This window comes from Homo sapiens, chromosome 12 (genome assembly GCF_000001405.40).
Source record: "Homo sapiens chromosome 12, GRCh38.p14 Primary Assembly".
Taxonomy (NCBI): domain Eukaryota; kingdom Metazoa; phylum Chordata; class Mammalia; order Primates; family Hominidae; genus Homo; species Homo sapiens.
The window spans coordinates 62,212,194-62,238,733 of record NC_000012.12 but is presented as its reverse complement, the minus strand read 5'-3'; the positions used below and the strand labels follow the sequence as shown (position 1 = coordinate 62,238,733).

The following is a 26,540-nucleotide window of genomic DNA, read 5'->3' as shown; positions in this document are numbered from 1 at the left end:
AGAATATTTCAGACAATGCTAGTTATCAGGGCTAAAAAGATAAATAAAGTATAATTTCTGCTCTAAATCTTGTGGGATGGTCAGATTTATAAATTGAAGGTTTCAATTAAAATTACTGAGTATTAAGGGTTTGGATTGTGGAATCAAAATGTCTAACTCTGGGCAAGTTACTTATCTCTCCAAGCCTCAGATTTGTCATTTGTAAAATAGGAACATAATAGTTCCTAACTCAGAGAGCTGTTGGGAGGATTAAATGAGATAATGTAGGTAAAATATTTAGCACAGTGCCTGGCACATGGAAAGTGCTCACAAAAACAAATGGTTATTGTTGAGTGATGTAACCAAAATGTGAAGTGGAAGCAATCTGGCTTCACTCTTCCCCACGGAAAATTGAAAACAAATATCTGGTGCCAAGATTATAGCCAGCAGTATCCTAGAATTTAAATTTGGGGCTGAGATGACCCCTAGGACCACAAAGCACTGAGAAACTCTGAGAAGACAATAAGAGAAATGGACTTTTCTACCCATCAAGCCCCTCCTTCCATCTGCCAGATGCCATGTGGAAACCCATTGTTTCCACACTATAAAAAGTGACATCAAGGGAGACAGCCAATTTTCCCACCATCCTGGGTTCCCTTGCAGGAAAACCATTCCTGCTTTATTTCATGGGAAGCATTGCAAATGCCTATAGGGAGAAAAACTCCTGAGTCTAGCTAGCAACAAAGAACAGAGGCAGGACTGGAGACCCCAGCTCATGAAACTCTGCTCTTTATCTCAGCCAGAGACGTAAAAGCAGATTGGCTGTTCAGCAACACCAAGATGTAGGATGCACCCTCCATTGGTCTTCTGTGCATGAACTCCTAGCCAACCTTCCCACACAATCAGGGTATCCCCTTTGGGACCCTGTAACCCCTAATCTGGGTTGGGAAGTGCTCTGAATGATTTCAAGAGCTGAAGCAAACTGGGGCTTAATGCACCATCTAATGCCAAAAAGGAAGCAGCAATCTAGGATTAAGGGCACTTACAGGCAACTGCAAAGAATCTCTAGGTAAACATATCCTAGAAAGTTGAAAACAAGCCAGATAGCAAAGACTAGAATAAATTATTCTTCAAAGTGAAGCAACACATGTATGTTTATAAGAAACAACAACAAACAGGGAATCATGACATCTCCAAATGGACAAAGCAAGAAACCCGGAACCAATTCTAATGACATGGTAATAGTAAGCTCCCAGATCAAGAAATCAAAAAGCAGTTTTAAGGAAACTCAGTGAATTCCAAGATAACACAGCAAAACAATATATAAATTTGCTAGATAAATTTAACAAAGAGATTAAAATAATTTAAAAAGTCAAACAGAAATCTGGAACAGAGAAATACGTTTGTTAAACTGAAAAATGCATTAGAAGCTCTCAACAGAATGGATCTACGATCTCCTGACCTCATGATCTGCCCGCCTCGGCCTCCCAAAGTGCTGGGATTACAGGCGTGAGCCACCGCGCCCGGCGAACAGAATGGATCATGTGAAAAAAGAATTACTGAGCTAAAAGACAGGCTATTAGAATATGCACATCCAGAAAAGAAAAAAGAATAAAAAGGAACACAGAATGCCTGCAAGATATAGAAAATAAACTCAAAAGAGAAAAATATAAGAGTCATTGGTGTTCAAGGAAGAGTTGAGAAAGAGCAAGGGGTAGAATGACTATTCAACAAAATAATAACCAAAAACTTTCCAAACCTAGAGAAAGATACTGATATTCAGGTACAGGAAGGTCACATATCACCAAACAGATTCAACCCGAATAAGACTACCTCAAGGCGTATAATAAACTCTCAAAAGTCAAGAACAAAGATGGGATTCTAAAAGTAGTGAGAAAAAAGAAGCAAATAACAAATAAAGGAGCTCATTTTCATCTAACAGCAGATTTCTCAGTGGAAAGCAACTTGCCAGGAGGAAGTTGGATGACATTCGGTCAAGGGAAAAAATTATCCAACAAGAATACTGTACCTAACAAAGCTTTCCTTCAAACATAAAGCAGAGATAAAGTCTTCCCAGACAACCAAAAGCTGAGGAAATTCATCATTGCTAGACCTGTCTTACAAGAAATACTGAAGGGAGTTCTTCAATCTGAAGGAAAAGGATACTAACATGCAAAAAGAAAACATTTGGGCTGGGTGCGGTGGCTCACGCCTGTAATCCCAGCACTTTGGGAGGCTGAGGTGGGTAGATCACGAGGTCAGGAGATGGAGACCATCTTGGCTAACACGGTGAAACCCTGTCTCTACTAATAATACAAAAAAATTAGCCAGGCATGGTGGCAGGCACCTGTAGTCCCAGCTACTGGGGAGGCTGAGGCAGGAGAATGGTGTGAACCCGGGAGGTGGAGCTTGCAGTGAGCCGAGATTGCACCATTGCACTCCAGCCTGGGTGACAGAGTGAGACTGGCTCAAAAAAAAAAAAGAAAAAAAAAAGAAAAAAAACATTTGAAGGCATAAACTCGCTGGTAAAGTAAATACACGCATAAATTCAGAATATTCTAGTACTGTAATTATGGTATACAATCCTTCATATCTCTAGTATGGACTAAAGGACAAATCTATCAAAAATAATAACTGCAGAAATCTGTTAAAAGATAGGAAGTATAAAAAGATATACTTGAGACAACACAAAGTCAGAATGTATGAGTGGGGGAATTAAGTTAAAGTGTAGAGACTTTTAGGTTTTCCTTCATTTGTTTTTTTTTTAATTTTCTTTGCGACAGAAGTTGTCATCTATTTAAAATAACTTGCCATGTCTATAAGACATTTTTTGGAAAGCCTTATGGTAATAACAAAGCAAAAAATCTATAATAGGCTGGGTGCAGTGCCATGAACCCGTAGTCCCAGCTACTCAGGAGGCTAAGGTGGAAGGATCTCTGGAGCCCAAGGGTCCAGCCTGGGTGACACAATGAGACCCCATCTCTAAAAAACAAAAACAAACAAGCAAACCTTCCTCCAAAAACCTAAAATAGATCCACTAAAAATAAAAAGCAACAAATTTAAACATATTACCATTAAATGAGAAACTCATTTAACCACTGAGGAAGACAGTAACAAAGGAATAAAGGAAGAAAGGAGTTACAAAACAACCAGGGGCAATGTCCCGATAACCACCTGCGATGCCGTGGTGGGTTGCTCCCTGTCTGTTCAGCAGAGAGTCTAGACACCACCTAGTCTTCATGTACAGCCGACCACAGGCTGAGAAGGAGCAGGAAGCTGGGAAGCTGAGCCAGTGGCAGGCGGCGCACCAGGCTGCCCAGGATAAGTAGAACTCAGCACCCATCTTGAACATGACTCATCTTCTGGAAGCTCCGGAGTGCACACCTCTTGGAACCATGGCCTACCAAGCATTCAGCACTTTCCTCACAGGACAGAGATGCCGAGGGCCCCCTTGTTGTCTGTTGAGGCATCAGGGAAGATTGTGGATGAAGGGGGGCCACAGTTCAGTATGCCACTGCCTGAGCATGGCGTGAGCTACTGCCCCTAAGCGACTCCCACTCCTTTCCGGATGATTTACTGTCAGGGAGTGTCTCCCCCTCAGCAAGAGATGATGATTTTCAGTGGGCCCCAGATAATGCCTGTAGGAGAGGCCAGTACTCCAAAGGTGGCCAGGGCCTTCAGGCTGCCAGTCTCAGCTTCCACTGGAATTCCAGTGATGTCTCATATTGGGGACCCTACAATGCCTTACCCTGGCCTCTCGACAGTACCTTCTGATGAAACATTGTTGGCCTCGACCATGCCTTCCACTGAGGCCCAGGCTATGCCCCCTCCGTGGCTCAGATGTTGCCCCCACAAGATGCCCATGATCGTGGGATGCCCCGAGCTGAGTCCCAGTCATTGCTGGTTTTAGGATCTCAGGACTCTCGTAAGTCAGCCAGACTCCCAAGCAGGCCCATTCCTACCGGAGCATCCCAGACCTGCTCCACAGACAGCAGAGCAGAACTCCAGGCCTCAGGAAAGGACTGGTAGACGGGGCTCCTCAGAGGCAAGGCCTTACTGCTGCAACTACGAGAACTGCGGAAAAGCTTATACCAAACGCTCCTACCTTGTTAGCCACCAGTGCAAGCACATGGGTGAGAGGCCCTATTTGTGCAACGGGAAAGGTGTTTATGGTCTTTCTTCCGTTCTAATGAGCGTAGATGACATACGTGGGTACACACCAGACATTGACCATATAAATGTGATCAGTGCAGCCAAGAGTTCATGAGGTCTGACCATCTCAAGCAACACCAGAAGACTCATTGGCCAGGACCCTCAGACCCACGGGCCAACAATGGACAGCAGGACGGTCCTGTTCCTGGTCCTTAGGTGAATGAAGGAAGAGGATTCTAGGCAGAGAACACTGGACCTGGCAACTGCTCAGAGGAGAGGCAGTCTTCAAGTTCTATATTCATTCAGCAAATGTTTTTTGAGCCTACAATACTGAGAGCACCAAGGCTGTGGGGACCCATGGCGAGGAGCATGGAGATAACTAAAGAATGTGTCAGGGAAGAAAGACTTCTCAAGGAGGTGCCTCAGTCAGATCCAAAGGACTCATGGCGGCTAGCTGCACCTCCCATTTCTTGGACATATACCATTGGACATGTCTCTATCTTCTGAAAACTATGGCATGGACAGTAAGGATTCAGAGGTGTATGAAGGCACCCTGCCTCTGCAGAGCAGAAAGATCATAGACAAAATTTCTGAATGTGCCCAGTGCTGCCAAGGAGATAAGCTGGTCCTCTACAGGCTCAAGCTTATCTGGGCCTCTAGAGAAGCCCACAGCCTTGGCTGTGTCTGCCCTGCTCTCCCACCCCTACCCTGACCCTGTCCTACTTTGCTGCCTCGGTCTGTGTTACTAGTGGCCCCAGTATACCTGGGATGGACATCCAGGTGCCCTCCATCCAAGCTCCCAAGTGAGGGGAGTGGACATGATTAAAAGAACAGGAGCAGAAGGGGCTCATTTTTGACCCATTCACTAGCCCCAGGGATTGAGGTCTTGGATACTCAAAGAATCTTTCATTTCTACCAGGGCACCAGATCCCTTCCATGGAGCAGGCCATCTCGGGTTCACTGGGCCAGGGCTGGTCTCTGTTCCCCAGCCCACCTGGCTCACACACAGCCTCGTGGGTAGGGTCAGCAGACCAGATTGCTTGTTATGTAAGACGAGAGGTCTGGTTGATGATCTAGCACTTTCACCAAGAAATGGACGTGGAGAGGATCAGAGTGATCAAGAGTGTATGAAGTGCATTCCAATGGTGGGCAAAACAGGCTCCTGCTCTTGTGGAGGTCACAATCTAGTGGAGGAGGGATGTTACTAGAAATGCACAAAGTGGGCTGAACACAGTGGCTCACACCTGTAATCCTAGCACTTTGGGAGGCTGAGGTGGGCAGATCACTTGAGGTTAGAAGTTAGAGTCCAGCCTGGCCAACATGGTGAAACCCCATCTCTACAAAAAGTACAAAAATTAGCCGGGCATGTTGGCACACACCTATAGTCCCACCTACTCAGGAGGCTGAGGCAGGATAATCACTTGAACGTGGGAGGCGGAGGTTGTAGTGAGCCAGGATGGCACAATTGCACTCCAGCCCGAGTGACAGAATGAGGCTGTATCTCAAAAAAAAAAAAAAAAAAAAAAAAAAAAAAAAGAGATGCAGAAATTGCTGGGAGGACAAATAGTGAGGACTTGCAATTGGGTAAGGGGGTTAGAAAGGCATTTCTTGAAAGTTGTGGTTTGAAGTCATATTTAAGGAAAACTAGGAGCTAACGGCAGATAAAAGGAGGTGGGGTGGTGATTGGAGGAGAAATAAGTCTTTATCCAGAGATGGCCCTGTGCTAGGCAGTGGCTAAGTCTTTCCTAGTATCACCCAAAGTAGGACAGTGGGTGGATAAGACGTGGACTCAGCTGCGTGTGGTGGCTCATGCCTGTAATCTCAGCACTTTGGGAGGCTGAGGCGGGTGGATCACCTGAAATCAGGAGTTCAAGACCAGCCTGGCCATCATGGTGAAACCCTATCTCTACTAAAAATACAAAAATTAGCCGGGCATGATGGTGGGTGCCTGTAATCCCAGCTACTCGGGGGGCTGAGATGGGAAAATTGCTTGAACCTGGGGGACAGGTTGCAGTGAGCTGAGATTGTGCCATTGCACTCCAGCCTGGGTGACTGAGTGAGACTCCATGTCAGAACAAACAAACAAAGACGTGGACTCTCTAGTAGATTTTGAATCCTGCCTCTGCCATTTCCTGGCTATGAGATGTCTTGGGAAATTTACTTGTCACTCTTGCTTCTGATAGTAAAGGGGATGGTGAGATAGATTCAAGATGGAGAGATAAGGCTGAAAGTGTTTTCTTTGGCTGCAATGTGGAGATTAGATTAGAGTGAGGGTGTAATGGAGAGAAAGGGACATATCAGTATTTCAGGAGAGAGTCAAGGTGGCTTTGGCCAGGGTGTGAGAGTGGAGGTAAGGAGAAGTAGGAAAGTGACAGTTAACTGAATTTTTGGTAGGTGAGGGAGAGGTCAAGGGTGACCTCCAGGTTTCTGGCTTGTGTTATAAGTAACACAGAAGAAGAATGATGAACTTCATTAATTTTCCATTTATTGTGATGTCTATCACACCTGCAAGAAATATTTTGTATATATCCAATTTAATAATAAATGCACTCACATTGGGAAGGTCAAAGAAAAAAGGAAAAAAAGAAAACTAATAAAAATACTTATTTACCCCTAAGATCAGGCCTGTAATCTTTGGGATGCCAAGGTGGAGGATAACTTGAGGCCAGGAGTTTGAGACCAGCAAGACCTTGTCTCTGTAAAAAATAAAATTAAAAGAAAAGAAGGAAAAATAATGTACTAATACATTTAAAGCTTTGAGTTCCCCAGCCTTCTCTGCAGAGGTAACCACTATACTGAATTTTGATTAATCTTGCCTTAGCTATTTATTGTTTTTACCACATAACGTATCCGTTCTTAAGTATAGTGATTGCTTTTGTTTGGTTTTAAACTTAAATTTATTCTGTTTGTGATTCATTGAACTTTTTCAATCTAAATCTTTATAGTCTTAATAAAATTTGGAAAATTTTGTTAAAAAAAACAAAAAACATGTAACAAAATAGCAGTAGTAAGTCTTTACCTATCAATAATAACACTGAATGTAAACAGACTCAATTCTCTGATTAAAAGACAGTGGCTGAATGGATAGAAATCAAAACGTAACTATATGCTGCCTACGTGAAACTCACTTTACCAAAAAGACGTAGAAAGTGAAGAAATGGAAAAAGATATTTCACACAAATGGAAAACCAAAAAGAGTACAAGTAGCTATATTTATATCAGATAAAATAAACTTCAAGTTAAAGACTGTAAAAAGAGACAAGGTCATTATTTAATGATAAAGAGGCCAAGAGTATATAATAATTGTGAATCTATATGCACCCAACATTGGAGCAAACAATATAGAGCAAACATTATAGAATATATAAAGCAAACATATAAATATATAAAGCAAATATATAAAGCAAACATTAATAGATATAAAGGGAGAGATGGACTGCAATACAGTAATAGTATGGGACTTCAACACCCAGCTCTTAGTAATAGATCATCCAGACCAAAAATAAATACAGAAACATCAGAGTTAAACTACACTGTGGATCAAATGGACATAAATGACATTTACAGATAATTTTATCCAACTGTTGCAGAATACATATTTTTCTCATTGGCATATTAAACATTCTTGGCTGGGTGTGGTAGCTCATGCCTATAATCCCAGCACTTTGGGAGGCCAAGGAAGGAGGATCGCTTGAGCCCAGGAGTTCAAGACCAGCCTGTGTAACATAGTGATACCTCATCTCTATGAAAGATAAAAAATTAGTCAGACCTAGTGGTACACACTGTGGTCTCTGTTAGTTGAGAGGCCGAAGCAAGAAGATCATGTGAGCCCTAGAGGTTGAAGTTACACTAAGTCATGATTGTGTCACTGCACTCCAGCCTGGGTGACAGGGTGAGACCCTATATCAAAAACAAACAAACAAACAAACAAAGAAAAACCAAAACCCAAAAACATTCTTTAGAATAGACCTTATGTTAGGCCACAAAACAAGCCTCAACAAATTCAAAAAAGTCTAAATAATATCAAATATCTTTTCTGACCACAATGGAATAAGACTAGAAATTAATAACAAGAGGAACTTTGAAAACCATAGAAATCATGGAAATAAAACAACATCCTCCTGAATGATCAAGGGGCTGATGAAGAAATTAGAGAGAAAATTCAAAAATTTCTTGAAAGAGATGAAAATGAAAACACAACATACCCAATTCTATGGGATCTAGTAAAAGCAGTACTAAGAGGGAAGTTTGTAGCAATAAATGCTTACATCAAAAACATAGAACGATTTCAGATAACCAACCTAATGATGCATCACAAGGATCATAAGAAAAGCAAGAATATGCCAAACTAAAAATTAGTAGAATGAAAGAAATAACAAAGATCAGAGAAGAAATAAAATACAATTGATACCAAAAAAAATCAATTAAAAGTTAGTTTTTAAAAAAGATAAACAAAACCAACATAACCTTAGCTAGACTAAGAAAAAAAATTAGACCCAAATAAATAAAATCAGAAATGAAAAGGGGAACATAACCACATAGCCACAGAAATGCAAAGGATCATTAAAGACTATTATGAACACCTATATGCCAACAGATTGGAAAACTTGAAGGAATGGAAAAATTTATGGACACATATAACCTACTAACATTGAACCATGAAGAAACAGAAAACCAGAACTCACCAGTAATGAATAATGAAATCAAAGCAATAATTTAAAAGTCTCCCAACAACAACAACAACAACAACAACAAAAATCCAGGACACGATGACTTCACTTCTAAATTCTACCAAACATTTAAAAAAGAACTAATACAATTTTACCTAAACTATTCCAAAAAATTGAAGAGGAAGGAATATTTCCAAATTAATTCTACAAATCTTGAATTACCTTGACATTAAAACTAGACAGACACAATTAAAAAAAAAAGAAAATACAGGCAAGTGTTCCTGATGGACATAGATGTAGAAATCCTGAACAAAATACTAGCAACCAAATACAATAGCACATTAAAAAGAAAATTGATAATGATTAGATGGGAAGCCCAGGAATACAAGAATGGTTCAACATATGCAAATCAATAAAAATATGCATTACCTTAACAGAATCAAGAACAAAAACCATATGATCATTTCATTAGATGATGAAAAAGTGTTTGACAATATTCAACATCCCTTTATGATAAAAACCCTCAACAAGCTGGTTATAAAAAAGACATACCTCAAAACCATAAAGGCCACATATGACAAACCAACAGCTAGCATTATAGTGAATGGGGAAAAATTGAAAGCCATTCTTTTAGATCTGGAAAAAGACAAAAAGGCCTACTTTTACCTCTTTTATTCAATGTAGTACTAGTACTGGAAGTCCTAACGGGAGCAATTAGGCAAGAAAAATAAATTGAAGGCATCCAAACAGGAAAGGAAGAAGTCAAATTATCCTTGTTTGCAGATGACATAATAGTATATTTCGAAAAACCTAGACACCACCAAGAATTGTTAGAACTGATAAATGAATTTAGTAAAGTTGCAGGATGCAAAATCAACATATAAAAACCAGTAGAATTTATATATGCCAACAGCCAACTGAAAAAGAAATAAAAAAGAATAATTCCATTTATAGTAGCTATAAAAATATATAATACATAGGAGTAAATGTAACCAGAGAAGTGAAAGTTCTCTACAAGGAAAATTGTTAAGACACTGATGAAAGAAGTTGAAGAGGGTGTATAAATATAGAAGATATTCCATACTCATTAATTAGAAGAGTTAATATCATTAAAATGTCAATGCTACCCAAATTTTTCTACAGATTCAATGCAATTCCTATCAAAATACCAATGACATTCTTCACAGAAAAAATTCTCAAATTTGTATGGTAGCACAAATGATCCTGAATAACCAAAAAAATCCTGAACTTAAAAAATAAAGTAGGAGATATCACACTACCTGAGTTCAAAATATACTATAATCAGAGAGGTGCAAATCAAAACTACAGTGAGATACTATCTTATACTAGCCAGAATGGCTATTATAAAAAAGTCAAAAAATAACAGATGTTGGTGAGGTTGCAGAGAAAAGGGAATGCTTATGCACTGTTGGTGGGAAAGCAAATTAGTTTAGCCTCTGTGGAAAGCAGTTTGGAGATTTCTCAAAGAACTGGAAATTGAAATACCATTTGATCCAGCAATTCCATTACTAGGTATATACCCACAGGAAAATAAGTCATTCTACCAAAAAGACACCTGCACTCATATATTTATCACAGCACTATTCACAATAGCAAAGACATGAAATCAACCCAAGCCAAAGCCAAATACTGCATGTTCTGACTTATAAGTGGGAGCTAAACATTCCGTACACATGGACACATAGATGGAAACAATAAACACGAAGGATTCCAAGTGTGGGGAGGGAGGAAGAGGGAAAGGGTTGAAAAACTACCTATCAGGTGCTAAGTTTACTACTTGGGCAACGATAAAAAAATTAAAAATTAAAACAATTATTTCAGAGATAAGTGTGTGTGTATGTACACACGTGTATATATACATGTGTATGTGTATATACAAAGTAAATATATACACTACAAAGCCATAGTAACCAAAACAACATGGCACCCACATAAAAACATATACATAGACCCATGGAACAGAAGAGAGAATCAAGAAATAAATCCACACATTTACAGCCAACTCATTTTTGGAAAAGGCACCAAGAACGTACATTGGGGAAAGGGCAGTCTCTTCAATAAATGATACTGAGAAAACTACAAACCATAAGCAGAAGAATGAAGCTTGAGCCCTCTCACCATATACACAAATAAAATAAAAATGGATTAAATACTTAAGTCTAGGATTGAGACTATGAGAAGAAAACTTTGGGAAACGCTTCAGGACATTGGTCTGGGCAAAGACATTTTGGATAAGACCTCAAAAGCACAGGCAACAAAAGCACAAATAGACAAATGTTATTATATCAAGCTAAAATCTTCTACACAGGAAAGGAAATAATCCACAAAGAGAAAAGACAACCTACAGAATGGGAGGAAATATTGCTCGGTATCTATCCAACAAAGGAGTAATAACCAGAATGCATGAGAAACTCAGCTCAATAGCAAGAAAACAAATAATTTACTTTAAAATGGGCAAAAGATCTGCAGAGCTATTTCTCAAAAAAAGACAAATACCCTTCTGCCAGAGAGTTTGCTGCCCCTGCTTGTCCCATCAGCCAGACACTTTAGTGTATGCATATGTAACTGTACACAGTAGGACTGCATACTTACTCCGACCAGGAAGTTCAGAGCAGGCTTTTTGGGGGATATGATTAACGACTTCTGTCTTGAGAGATAAATAAGGCTTAGCCAAGAAGAAATGTAAGAGTGTAAGAGAGGTTAGAGGGAAAAAATAATGTGATCTGAGGAAGAAACTACCAGAAATTCTACACCACCAGAACACAAAGTGCAAGGTATGGAATAACAAGAAATAAAGTGAGGATAAGGAAAGGGGAATGGATTATGAAGACCTTATGTCATGATACATAGTCTAGGCTTCAGGCTGAAGGAAGTGGGGATTCACTGATGGATTTTAAGCAGGGTGTTCCCATATTGAAATCTGGGTTTCAGATAGACTACCAAGGCTTTGGTGACCTTGATGAGAGCAAGGCTATACACAGCAGGAGAAGTGGTTTAGCTGCTGCAATATGCCAGGCCAAAAAAGATGGGCCTGAACTAAAGCAGCAGTAGCAGGGTTACAGGGGACGGGCCAGATTTGAGAAATGTTTACAAGGGAAAACTGGCACCATTTGATTGTGAGTGAAAAGTAAAGAAGAATAAATTACTAAAGATGACTTCCATATTTTTGCCTTGGGTAACTTGGTGAATAGTAGAGTCATTAATTGATTTTGGAAATATGAGAGGAAGAATGTGTTTGGAGGATGGAAAGTGGGGTAAACTTTCTCTTAGATATTCAGGGTTTGAAGGGCTTGAGTTACACACAGGTTTAAAAGCCTCAAGATAGGTATCAGTATTAAAGATTTGGAGGTGATTAACCTACTGATGGTAGTTAAGGCCCAGAGAGTGGAATGAGATTGCTTAAAAGAGTAATCAAGGCCGGGTGCGGTGGCTCACGCCTGTAATCCCAGCACTTTGGGAGGCCGAGGAGGGTGGATCGTGAGGTCAGGAGATCGAGACCATCTTGGCTAACACAGTGAAACTCCGTCTCTACTAAAAATACAAAAACAAAATTAGCCAGGCGTGGTGGCGGGTGCCTGTAGTCCCAGCTACTGGGGAGGCAGAGGCGGGAGAATGGCGTGAACCCAGGAGGTGGAGCTTGCAGTGAGCGGAGATCACCCCACTGCACTCCAGCCTGGGCGGCAGAGCGAGACTCCGTCTCAAAAAAAAAAAAAAAAAGAGTAATCAAGAGAAAGATATAGACCAAGACTGGAGTCCTAAAACACAACAGCATTTAAGCAAAGGTACTTACTGGAGAAAGTAAAGAGAGCACACCACTATGAACATCTTAGAAAGAGCCAACAAACAAAACTTCTTGAAGGCAATGGGTATAACCTGAGGGGCAAAACCTAAACACTTTGAGGATGGAGTGCATGTTATGTGAGATCATCTGTAGTGTAAGTTTCTAGATGTGGGAGTACTGCCTCAAAATGCACATACTTTGGAAATTTTTATAAATATTGCCAAATTACCCTCCACAGATTTTAAACCCATTTATACACCAATCAGCAATGTATAAAACTGCCTGTTTCTCTATGCTTTTGCCAAGAATGTGTTATTAAACTTTCTGATCCTTGTCAAACTTACATGTAAAAATTCATATTTTGGGGTATCTTTATACATATTTCTTTTCTTGTGAGAAAGTTTGTGTATCCATATGACTAAGAGTCACTTGTATGTCCTTTTCTATAAAATGTCTCCTTTGATGTTTCTCTGTTTTCCATTTTTTTTCTTTAATATTGATTTGGAGGAATCTTTACTATATAAGGAAAATTAAGCATTTATTTGTATGTTGCAATAGCTTTCTCCAGTTTTTAACTTTGTTGGGTTTTTTTCATGTATTTAAAAAATTAATTTCTAGTAAAATTAATCAGTGCTTTCTTTTATGGCTTTTCAGTTTAGAAGCACGCTTAGAAAGGCTTTTCTGATTTCAAGATTATAACAGTTTTTCTCACATGATTTCTTATAGCTTCTTTATGATTTATTTACATTTGAGTCTGATCAGTCTGGAATTTTTATTGTTATAAGGTGGAAAGTGTGTATCCAATTTCATTATTTCCTGGAGGGATAATTATTGTCCCAACACCATTTGCTAAAGTAGTCATTCTCTACTGACTTGAAGCAACTAAATTCTCATTATATTTGATCAATTTCTGGACATTCTAGTTCATTTCTTCCAGCTGTTTGTCTAATATTGTGCTAGTACCACATTGTCTTAATTAATTGATTAAACTAAGCCCGCCACCATCCCCACCAACTTTTTTTTTTAAATTTTTTTATGAGACGGAGTCTCACTCTGTCGCCCAGGCTGGAGTGCAGTGGTGTGATCTCAGCTCACTGTAACCTCCGCCTCCTGGGTTCAAGTGATTCTCCTGCCTCTGCCTCCTGAGTAGCTGGGATTACAGGCGTGTGGAACTAAGCCCTTTTTAATGCTCTTCTTTTTCAGAAATGTATTGCCCATTACTTATTTTTTAATTTTAATTTTAAAAATCTGCGAAAATGTAAATAACGTAAAATTTACTATTTTATCAATGTTTAAGTATACAGTTGAGTGGCATTAAGTACACTCATTATTGTGCAACCACTGTTACCATCAATTCCTGTTACCAGGACTTTGTTCATCTTCCCAAACTGAAAGTCTGAACCCATTAAACAATAACTCCCCATCCCTCCCTTTCCCCAGCCTCTGGCAACCATTTTATTTTTTGTGTCTATGAATTTTAATACTCCAGTGCTATGGTCTAAATGTTTGTGTCACCCCAAAATTCATATGTTAAGTTTTAATGCTCAATGTGATGGTATTAGGGGGTGAGGCATTTGGGAGGTATAATTACCTCCCGAATGAGAGTGAAGCCCTCATGAATAAGATTAGTGCCCCTATTAAGAGACCTCAGAGAGCTCCCTGGCCCCTTCCACCATGTAAGGACACAGTGAGAAGACAGCCACCTATGAAGCAGAAAGTGGGCACTCACCAGACTCAGAATTTACTGGCACCATGATCTTGGATTTCTCAGCCTCCAGAACTGTAAGAAATAAATTTCTATTATTGATAAGCCACCCAGATTATGGTATTTTGCTGTGGCAGCCTAAATACACCAAGACATCTAACATGGTACGTCATACAGGTGGAATCATACAAATGCTTATGCTTATGAAGCATTTGTATGGACTTCACATAATGTCCTAAAACCTCCTCCATGTTTTAGCATGTGTCAGAATTTCCTTCCTTTTTAAGGCTGAATAATATTCCATTGTGTGTGTGTGTGTGTGTGTGTGTGTGTGTGTGTGTGTATGCACATATAAAACACATTTTGTTTATTCATTCATCCATTGATGGATACCTGAGTTGCTTCCACTATTTGGCTATTGTGAATAATAAGATTATAGGTGTAAAAATATCTATTCAAGTCCCTCCTTTCAATGATTTTGGATATATACTCAGAAATAGAATTGCTGGATCATATGGTAATTATATGTTTCTTTTATCTTTTTGAGTACCCAGTATACTAATTTCCAAAGCAATCATACTATCTTATGTTTCCTTTACACTATGTTGATAGTGTTTTTTGATGCACAAAATTTAAAAACTTGATAAAGTCCAACTTATCTATTTTTTATTGTTTCCTGTGCTTTTGGTGACATATCCAAGAAATCATTGCCAAATCCAATATCATGAAATGTTTCCCTTTTTTTCCACTACAAATTTTGTAGTTTTAGCTCTTACATTTAGGTCTTAATCACAAATTTTGTAGTTTTAGCACTTGCATTTAGGTCTTAATCTATTTTTGAGTTGATTTTTGTATGTAGTGTTGGGTAAAGATCCAACTTCGTTTTTTTTGCATATTTGTATCCAGTTTTTTTCAGCATCATTTATTGAAAAGACTGTCCTATCTGAATTGAATGGTCTTGGCACTGTTGTCAAAAATCACTTCATTTGGGAGGCCGAGGTGAGGGGATTGCTTGAGCCCAGGAGTTTTAGGCCAGCCTAGACAACATACGGAGACCTCATCTCCACACACACAAAATATTAGCCAGGGATGGTTGGCGCATGCTTGTGGTCCCAGCTTCTTGAGAGGCTGAGGTGGGAGGATCATTTGAGCCCAAGAAGTAGAGGCTTCAGTGAGCTGAGCCATGATCATGCCCCTGCACCATTCCAGCCTGGGTGACAAAGTGAGACCCTGTCTCAAAATAAATCATTTGATCATATATTACTTACTTTTTTATGTATCAAACTTAGAATCAGCTTGCCTAATTAAAAAGATTGCATTAAATTTATAGATTAATTTAAGAAAACTTTATATTTTAATACAGCTGAGTCTTTCTAATCAAGAACATGGTTTCCTGCTTCATTTGTCTTCTTTTTTGTCCTTTAATATCATTTTAAAATTGTCTTTATATAGATTTTGCTTACATTTTGTTTAGTATATTCTCAGGTGTTTTATCTTTTTAAAAATTGTTATAAGATCTTTTCTTAGTATCTTTTAATTGGTTGCTGTGTGTGTACATGAAGACATTGCATTTCTTTGTTTTCAGTTCATGGAGCAAAAATAATATCCTTGAGGCCAGGCACAATGGCTCACGCCTGTAATCCCAGCACTTTGGGAGGCCCAGGCGGGCGGATCACGAGATCAGGAGATCGAGACCATCCTGGCTAACATGGTGAAACCCCATCTCTACTAAAAATAAAAAAAAAAAAAAAATTAGCTGGGCGTGGTGGCGGGCACCTGTAGTCCCAGCTACTCGTGAGACTGAGGCAGGAGAATGGCATGACCCGGGAGGTGGAGCTTGCACTGAGCCGAGATCGCATCACGGCACTCCAGCCTGGGCGACAGAGCAAGACTCCGTCTCAAAATAATAATAATAATAATAATAAATAATATCCTTGAATATTTATGTTGATTTCATGGTAAAATGTGTGGGCCACCATTTTCACTTACACTTCAGCAGTATTTTTTGAAGAAAGTTTTAAAAAAGTCTATCATTAAGCTCTCCCTATTAATTTTCTCTGGTGGTTTCTTTGATTAGATCCTGCACTGGTTCTTTCTTGATTACTCATTTTGAGGGAGGTAAGTTTTTCCTGGACAAGGTACATGTAGGTGGCTTATACTGAGAATGAGCCAGGGCTGTGTTGAAGTGAGGTGAAATTTCCCTATGACTCCAGATGTGTGTGTGTGTGTGTTTATTATACCTTTGCTTCTCTGTAGGCATATAGGCACAGGTAGGCATCTGTGAGGGTTCTTACAATGCAATGTCTCTCTTCACCCCTCTATCACAGAAACAGACCGACTTCCTAAAATAAACATTGCTTGTTTTAATCTTACTTTTTTTCAGGTCCACTCCCATCTTCTTAGACTCTTTGCTTTACATGGTTTAGAAATCTCTACTGTGGCAATTTCTTTTCTCCAACTTACTGATTTCTAAGAGTTTGAATACTAGCACTTTGTAGTTGCGTGTTAAAAATATATTCTCCCCTCTTTAAGCTTTCTCTTATCACCCTTTTATGTTGTTATTTGGTGAACATAAATTCTTTACCTTAATGTACTAGATTTTTTCAATCTTAACTTGATGGTCAGAGCTTTTTGCATCTTATTTAAAAATGATTTCCTTCTCTAGGGTCATAAAAATATCCTCCAATTCTATTTTCTAAAATCTTTATCATTTTTGTCTTTATATTTACTTCTCTGATCCTCCTGGAATTGATTCTCATGAATCAATGAGAGGTTAGGGTCCAATTTTATTTTTCCCAATTATCCCACACCCATTTGCTAAAAACCACCAATCTTTTGTGCCACTGCTGTCATATATTAAGTATTCATATATGAATAGATCTTTCTGAGTTATCTATCCTGAGTCATTGATCTATTTGTTTTTCCCTGAACTAATAGCACTTAGACTATTAGTTTCCCTGAACTAATAGTCTTAGTTATCATAGCCCAGTAATAAGTCTTAGTATCTGTTACCAACCTAGATGCCTACTAAATCAGTTGGTTGGTCTAATATTTTCAATGTTTTTGAACAATGAATATCAAAGAATACAAAAATGATCTGTACATCTAGCTATTTGGAGATGGGTATTTTGGTGAATATTTTTGTTTCTTTTCTTTCAAACTTCCTTCCTTCCTTCCTTCCTTCCTTCCTTCCTTCCTTCCTTCCTTCCCCCCTTCCTTCCTTCCCTCCTTCCTTCTCCCCTCCCCTCCCCTTCCTTACCTTTCCCTTCCTTTCCCTTCCCTTCCCTTGTGTTTTGTTTTTGTTTTTGTTTTTGTTTTTTTTTAGACGGAGTCTCGCTCTGTCGCTCAGGCTGGAGTGCAGTGGCACAAACTTGGCTCACTGCAAGCTCCGCCTCCCGGGTTCATGCCATTCTCCTGCCTCAGCCTCCCTAGCTGGGACTACAGGCGCCCGCTACCATGCCCGGCTAATTTTTCTATTTTTTAGTAGAGATGGGGTTTCACCGTGTTAGCGAGGATGGTCTCGACTCCTGACCTCGTGATCCGCCCGCCTCGGCCTCACCAAAGTGCTGGTCTTACAGGCGTGAGCCACCGCGCCCGGCCCCCTTCCCTTCTTTCTTTTCGCTCTTCCTTCCTTTGTTCTTTTCTTTCTCTCTAAATAGACTATTTTTTTTTAGCAGTTTTAGATTAATAGCAAGGTTGAGTGGAAAGTACAGAGAGATCCCATATGCCACTGCGTACACACACGCATACTCTTCCCCCACTATCAACATCTCCCACCAGAGTGGTACATTTGTTACAGTCAATGAACTTACATTGATGCGTCATTATCACTCAATGTCCACAGTTATTATTAGGATCCACCCTTGATGTTATATATTTTGTGGGTTTTGACAAATATATGATGACATGCATCCGCAATTAATTTTGTAAGAAACTGCAAAACTGTCTCCCAAAATGGCTGTACTATTTTGCATTACTACCAGCAGTGAGTGACAGTTCCTGTTGCTCTATATCCTCACCAGGATTTGGGGTTGTAATGTTTTGATTTTGACCATTCTTACAGGTGTGTAGTGGTATCTCATTATTGTTTTAGATATTTTTAAAAATTTTTTGTCTTGTTTTTTATATTTTATTTCTCATTTTATTAATTTGTAGTTTTTTCCTTTTTAGTAAGTGGGTGTAATTTTGTAATTTTTTAAAAGTAATGATTAGTTTTTAAAATGATTTTTCCTTTGAGTTTATTGTTTCCATTTCTTTCATTTGACTTTTACTTTGTTCTAGTTCTAACTTCATTAGGTTTTTTTTATTTGGTGGCTTGTTTCTGCCTCTAGTGAGGTTTTGCCTTTATTAAATAAAACAATTGCATCTGAGCAGTTGTTTTATTTTTGGTAACATTTCAATAATTTAGTTGTTTAAAAATGCTCCATAACTTTCTTCTAGATTTTTCCACTTCCCAAAATGTACTAGGTATTTTCAGTTTTCATCTTATATTCTCTTTGATCTGCTGATCACTGGGTTTAAAAATAGTTCATATCTACAGCTTAGCTTGTTGAGTATTTTCTGCAAAAGAATGAGATTTTGTGTTGTGTTTTAAAGGTAATGTGTTAGAATCATTTCTTTACTTTAACAACCTATTGAAAGAGGAACACTTGCAGATATAGTTATAACTTAATAGAAGGAGGCACAGTTTTCATGTACTGGGTGAGTGATTTATATTAAAAGCAGTTAGGTTATATAGTCAGTGATTTAATTGTAAATTTGGTGAGCAAATTCAACCCCTTATGACAAATAGTGCTTACAACTTTAAGTGAACAAACTTTTCTTTAGAAAATAAGTTTCTTTTATAACAAACACCCAATTTCAAAGGTTCAATTCAACAAGACTTGGAATTTTCTATTAAAATTAACTTTTGATTATTATCGAATAACTTCATCCTTGGTATACAAAAATTCAGGTTTATGTGATTTAGACTAACTGTAGATTTAATTTAAATTCTGGGGTTGCTGTGTGTAAATATTCTCTAACCTTCTCCTGTATCTGCCAATGCTTTGCATTTCCAAAAGCACTTGTGTTAGCAACTTCTTCAAGTTTTCTATTAAAGACTAATAAAATTGTGACCTATGATTTCATTTACAGTTTTAACCGAAGCTAATTTTTCATCTCTACACTTTAAGTAATTTCACAGATGAATTTCTCTTAGTTTTGTTTTTGAATTCTTTTATGTTAACCTAAGTTTTTTTTTTCAAAGCTGGAGCATATTTTTATTCATCAATTTGCAGAGATATAATCTTACTGTGAGAAACTTAAGTTGTTTTGTGTGTTTTCAAAAATGTTTTCCCACTAAATTTTCTTTTGCTATATTCTCCCTGGTATGTTATTCATTGTCAGTAATTAAAATGCTATTTTGTCCTCATCTTTTCTAATTATGTGTAAATTACAGTTTTCTTATATTGTCATTTTAATTCTATCATCTCAAATCCAAAATGTCATAATGTCTAGCTACTTTGCAAGTATGATATTATTGAATCTCCTATGTAAATGTGTAACAGCCTGAAAAATGTCCTTCAGAATATCTTTGGTAAATAGAAAACTATTCCAATTTAAATGTCCTTTAGATATCTACTCTGATTATCACTGATTTATTGACTTTGTGACTTGCAATGAGAAAGCAACAAAAAAAAAGAGAAAGAAAATAAATGGCTATGTATAATATTATATCCAAGAATATCTGAAACATCTATTTCATTCATAGATTTAAAGCTATAAAGATCGTAAAGATAGTAGTACTATATTATAAAATATAGAGCTGTGCTTGACATATTGTAGGTGCTAAATAAATATTTATTAAATGAGTGAATGAAATTCAGAATTTTCACAGGAGGCAAACACAGTACGGGTTGGGTTAGGATATTTAGCTTTTTCTTTGCTGAATAGCAAATTGTGGTAGTTCTCCAGGCTAACATTATCCCTCACTTTGATAACTAGGGATGTGAGCCTACCCAACTGATCACATACTAGCATTTCAAGTAATAGGGGATGTGTTCATCAGACACGGGTAGGAGAGACTCTTTTCCTTTCCTTCCCTCATTTCCTTTCTTCCACTGTTTTTTCTTTACAAATTAAAATTCAGGCCAGGTGCAGTGGCTCACTCCTGTAATCCCAGCACTTTGGGAGGCTGAGCGGGGAGGATTGCTTGAGTTTAGGGGTTCAAGACCAGCCTGGGCAACATAGTAAGACCTCATCTCTACTAAAAATTTAAAAAGTTAGCCCGGTGTGACGGTGCGTGCCTGTAGTCCCAGCTACTTGGGAGACTGAAGTGGGAGGATCTATTGAGCCCAGGAGGCTGAGGCTGCAGTGAGCTATGATCGCATCACTGCAGTCCAGCCAGGGCAACAGAGTGAGACCCTGTCTCAAAAATAAATAAATAAATAAATAAATAAATAAATAAATAAATAAATACATACATAAAAATAGATAAATTCAATCAGCATTAGTTTTGAAAAGTTCAGAAGTAAAACTTTTTTCTCCTGGCTCATTTTCACTTACTCAACTCAATAGCATTTTGGTAAGTACCCATCTCAGGTATGTTTGCTTGGGAAAAAAGATTCTAAGATGCAAATTTGTCTGAAAGAAGTTTACTGAAGAATGTCCTTGGGATCGATATCTGTGAGAGAGCAGAGGAAGTAAGAATATTCATGGGAGAGCTGAGCTGTGATGCAATTGTGATAATGGCTTCAGCCACCTCGAGGGAAGCTCTGGAACAGGTATGGCCCTTCAGAGTTGGCCTACTTTGAAGGAAGGGCTGGGCCTTATAACTTTACATCTGGATCAGTCACTGAAAATGAGCTTCCCTCTGGAAAGGGACTTGATCTTGGGCAAGAGGCTTTCTTCAGCTGACTTGGGCAGCTCTGGGAGAACCTACCTCATAACAGACAGTTTTAGTCCATTAATCACTTGATCTTCTGTAATTAGACTCTTTGTCTTTTCTCTCTGTCTACCAGGGCCCAGTTGCACTGCAGAGAGCTTTTATTTTAAAAAATGGTGTGTAACTCCTTACTTCAGATGGAGTGGTTTGATCCAGAATCCTAGGTATTTACATTGTGGTTTTACTTTAGGGCCTTGCCATAAACTCCACATATTATCTTTTCCTATTACTGATGCTTTTCATACTGAAAGGTCTGCTGGATCATATGGCCCAAGTACTCCCTGTACCTGCTGCAGGGCTGTCTGCTGCTTTGGACCCCACTCAAAGCTTGTAGCCTTTCATGCTATCTAGAGGGTGGGTAAAAGCAGTATTTGCCAATATGTAATATGTTAAACATGTTAGCCAAAGAGGAATACCAGAATACCAGGCATGGTGCTTCCCTTTTTGCGGAGAGACATATAAGATACAATAATTTGTTTCATTTAGAGAGGATGTCGCAGCTTGTACCAGATCACTGGACTCCCATATACTACCTACATGGCATTTCCCTGAACCCTTATAGGGTTTAGCTCCCGCACTCTGGAATGCATATGGTATACCGTAATGTATATGCTAACTTCTTGCTTGTCTAGTCCAATTAATATGGTACCACTGAAATAGTGAACCAATGCTATGTTTTGACAAATGACCAGTTCGGGCATCTTTGAAATACATTATGTCAGAGGGCAAAAGAATTAACCTAGCTTTGGGTAAGACTGTAAACATATACACCTATCTGTTTCAAGTGAATTCAAACCATTTCTGATCTTTCCAATAAGATTGGAAAATAAAGCGTTTTTCAGATCAACAATAGTATACTGTGTATTAAGAATTTGTGGTAATCTGCTCTAGCAAAGAAGCCACATCTGGGACAACATCTATAGTTGGAACTACTTTTCTGATCGAGTTTGCCTTACTTTACTGTCATTCTCCAAGATATGTCTGTTTTTTGTAGGGTCCTTGCTGGTCAGTTGAAAGGGAATAGGATGAAAATCAGCAACCAAATATTATGTAGGTTTTTAAAGGTGTCATTAATCTCTGCCACCACTTCCCCAATACCCACACTAACAAACAGATGAAATGCTGTTTGTTAAAATTTACTGTCTTGGGAAGGAGCAGTTTCAGAGTTTAAAATTACCTTTCTCTACTATATGGGTCTTATTCCACAGTCTAAGGTACCAACATGGGGGTTCTGCTAATTACCAAGCATGTCCACTATTGTTATTCAATTAGCAATGGCAGTAGTGACTACTGGATAGGTGTGTGGACCCGCAATTGGATAGCACTTGGCCAGACTCCATTTGTTACTTTACCCCCATATGCTGGTTCTCTAACAGAGGAATGTAATGATGCTTTAGTGTCAACTCAGACTCTGTGTCCAAAAGTCCTTGAAACATTTGGGTATTTTCTTAGTTGAGAAAATGGCTTTTGGTACTGTCCCCTTGGGGAAGGATTGAGGAAACTGTTACTTTATTCACTTGCCATGGTGATACAGGGTCTCTAGAAACCCCATCTTTTGATGGGCAAAACCCACTGGTCTTTACAAATAGCAATTCTTATAAAATTTCATTTGATGCTCATGACAACCATTATCATTAGAGTAGCTGCTATTATATAAGAGCTCTCTGTCTACAAATAAGAAACCAAGATTCAGGGAGTTTAGGTCACACAAAATGTAACTTGCAAGTGTCATATCTCTTTTTTTTTTTTTTTTTGAGAAACAAGTTGTTTCTCTTAAGCAAGAGAAACAAGTTGTTTCTCTTAAGCAAGAGAAACAAGTTCTTCCTCTTAAGCAAGAAAAACAAGTTCTTCCTCTTGTTTTTTTTTTTTTTTGATAAACGAGTTGTTTCTCTTAAGCAAGAGAAACAAGTTCTTCCGCCCCTTTTTTTTTTTTTTTTGAAAGACAAGTTCTTTCTTTTTTCCAGCAGAGACTGTGGCTGCAGTAAATTTTCCCTGAGTAAGATTGTACTTATTTAATTTTTTGTGTCTAAAAAGCAGAGTTGAATAGCAAGAGCTTGGTGAAAATGTCAGTACTTCCCCAGGCTATGAGATGTTCTGGAAAATTTGTTATTCTTGTATCCTATTACCTTGCCTTTTCCCATTTCAGGTTATTCCTACTGTTGGAGCAACTACTGAGAAGGGAAAACTCAAATGATTTAGAGATAAGACACACAGGGCTGCTTTTGGTGACTGCACATCTGCATTCAATTAATAAACAATTTGTGAAAAATTGACTTACCAATAACCCAAAATGTGAACAAGTAGACATTGACTTTTGTTCTTCAATTCCAAAACCTGGAGGTATGATTGTCTTGGAAAGTTTTGGTCTCTTATGAGGATATACAGAGATAGCTTGTGCAAAAGTAATGATTTCACTTCTTAGTACTCTCTCTTAGGTGAGAGTTGCACAACTTCCTTTTCTCTCTAGTCTGGCCCCTTTGAGTCAGGAGAGTGGGTCTCAGAATTGGTGCAGGGATGTAAGTAGAAATGGTTATCAAAATAAATGGAGCCTTTAAAGATAGTATCTCTAGAGTGGTATCCCTTCTTATCACTGCTTTGAGGCATATTATATTAGAAGGTGGGGATAATGGGTGTGTGTGTTAGTTTGTGAGGGATGCCATAACAAAGTACCATAGACTGATGTCTTAAACAACAGAAATTCACTTTCTCACAGTTCTGGAGACTAGATTTCTCAGAGCAAGGGGTCAGCAGGTTCATTTTTTCCAAGGCCTTTTTATTTGGCTATCTTTCTATGATATTGCTGTGTGTGTGCATGTCTGTGTCCACGGGCACAAGGGCACCAGTCATATTCGATTAAGTCCCACCCTAAAGACCTCATTTTAATTTAATTACTTTAAAAAAGATCTTATCTCCAAATACAGTTACATTCTGAGATAGTAGGAGTTAGGACTTCAACATATAAATTTTTGGGGGTGTATTAATTCATTTTCATGCTGCTGGTAAAGACATACCCAAGACTGGGAAGAAAAAATGGTTTAATGGACTTACAGTTCCACATGGCTGGGGAGGCCTCACAATCATGGCAGAAGGAAGGAGGAGCAAGTCACATCTTAAATGGGTGGTGGCAGGCAAAGAGAGAGCGAGCTTGTGCAGGGGAACTCCCATTTTGAAAACCATCAGATCTCGTGAGACTTATTCCCTATCATGAAAACAGCACAGGAAAGAACTGCCCCCGTAATTCAATTACCTCCCACAACACATGGGAATTCAAGATGAGATTTGGGTGGGCATACAGCCAAACCATATTGGGGTTAGGGGCCATAAGTCAGCCTCTTATAAGGGGGATTATTTCTCACATTGGCAGTTAAATTCCTAAATAAACAAGGGGCTAAATCAACCCTTCTTAACCTGGTGCATCTTAATGGTTTGTGAAATTTTAGAAGTACATGCTTTCATTAGGTTCTTAGTTCCCCAAAAGGCTAAGAGTCCAAATAGTGTTTACATACTGGTAATGATGCAAACTGGGAACTTGATTCGATATCTCTGTGTTTAATAGTTTTTTGTTTGTTTGTACACAGGTCTAGGAACCTAGTTTCCATCTTAATGAGTTTCTATAGGATGGGGACATTCTGAGTTCAAAACAATATATAAAAATCTTGAAAGGTATCTTATTCACAAGTTGAGGCTACCTACTCTTGGAGTAAAGAAGAATAATTGAGTTTAATGAATTTCAGTGGATGATAAGTATTTATTATTTAACTTGGATTGTAAATTCTGAAAGACAAGACCATGTGTATTAACAAGGCACAGCACCACACACAGGAGTACCTAATGGCAACTTACACTTTTTTTTTTTTTTGAGACAGAGTCTCAGTCTGTCACCAGACTGGAGTGCAGTGGCACGATCTCGGCTCACTGCAACCTCTGCTTCATGGGTTCAAGTGATTCTCCTGCCTTAGCCTCCTGAGCAGCTGGGACTACAGGCACGCGCCACCATGCCCAGCTAATTTTTGTATTTTTAGTACAGACGGGGTTTCACCATGTTGATCAGGATGGTCTCAATCTCTTGACCTCATGATCTGCCCACCTCGGCCTCCCAAAATGCTGGGATTACAGGTGTGAGCCACCACGCCCAGCTGCAACTTATACTTTTAATAATTATTTAACAAATTGAACTTACCTAAATGGTTCAGGTAATCATCTTGAAAACTAGGCAGCTTATCCATAAACAGAGTACACCTAGGGATTTTGTTTTTACCTGAATTCTGAAGCATGGCTTTAACACTATTCCATTCATCCTTCTTACTACTTCTCTAACTGTGACCCTTACCCAAGTAAGAAGGGAATGAACCGTGGTGGGGTATATGAGCAGCTGCCTGGTGTAAATCCAAAAGAAAAGACAGGCATTTATAGTGGCTCCCGGGTATGAATTGATTCAGAGATGGGCCAAAATTTGCGGCCTCTATTTTATATAATTTCATAATTGCACTTTTTTTAGAACTAGCATATGAAGCAAAGACTTCAGATAGCAATAATATATTTAGGCTTATTTTCAGGCATCTTTAAGCACTCTAATATTAAAAGTTTTAATCTTCTGTTAATAATTTTTACCTTAACATTTATATCTTTTGGATTCATGTGGTTAGGTGTATTTTTTGCTCTCATTAATGCAATCATTAAGAAATCTGTTGTATCAGTACAGTTATAATTTATTTATTTCTCTTGAGAAATGGCTTACACCTTTGATAATTTAGAATGCCAAATGAATAAAAAAGAGGATTTTTCAAATGTTTCGCTTTTATTAGTACCTTTTTTCGGCAGAGCATATGAGAATCTCAACTATTGTAACAGGGTTTCAAAGGAAAGCAATTCTATCTACCAAGAAAAGAGGACACATATTTAGAGAATCGTTATTCAGCAGACAGAGGAGAAGAGGGACTTTTCCTTCATGGATGTCAGACGACTTTGGTAGGCTCAGCTATAATAGTTTGCAAGCTCGAAAAGTGTCTAATGGGGGCAGAAAGGAGTTATTCCTAGAGGGTATCCCTGGGGAATATGAATCATGATCATAAAGAGATGAAAATGTGCTTATCCAAACCCCTTAAAGGGCAAAACCTGAAGAAGTAGGCTTATGTGTGAAATACAGGGCTCAATGAAACACCTCTTTATAGGTGGATTCTTGGAGAGGTTGTTGAATTTCCATTGCTGAATATCATTAAAATGACAGGAAGGTTTTGGGTCTGGGATATTTTGAATACAAACTTTTGGAAATAAAGGAAAGCTGAGTACTATTTGAAACTTCCTCTC

General features: G+C 38.5%; 1 protein-coding gene and 1 pseudogene across 1 annotated transcript in view, besides 1 other annotated feature; both read left to right on the top strand.

The window, feature by feature from the left end:
* TAFA2 (TAFA chemokine like family member 2) overlaps positions 1-26,540 on the top strand; it is a 551,762-nt gene that overhangs the window by 21,301 nt on the left and 503,921 nt on the right. The gene's annotated exons all lie outside the window — the stretch shown is intronic.
* Positions 3,134-4,641, top strand: KLF17P1 (Kruppel like factor 17 pseudogene 1; annotated as a pseudogene).
* Positions 5,501-5,673: a silencer, noted in NCBI's record as "fragment chr12:62626842-62627014 (GRCh37/hg19 assembly coordinates)". NCBI's record gives its function as "represses an EF-1alpha promoter that drives an FKBP-Casp9 reporter gene in an ReSE screen in K562 erythroleukemia cells {active_cell/tissue: K562}" and the evidence as "EXISTENCE:reporter gene assay evidence [ECO:0000049][PMID:32094911]".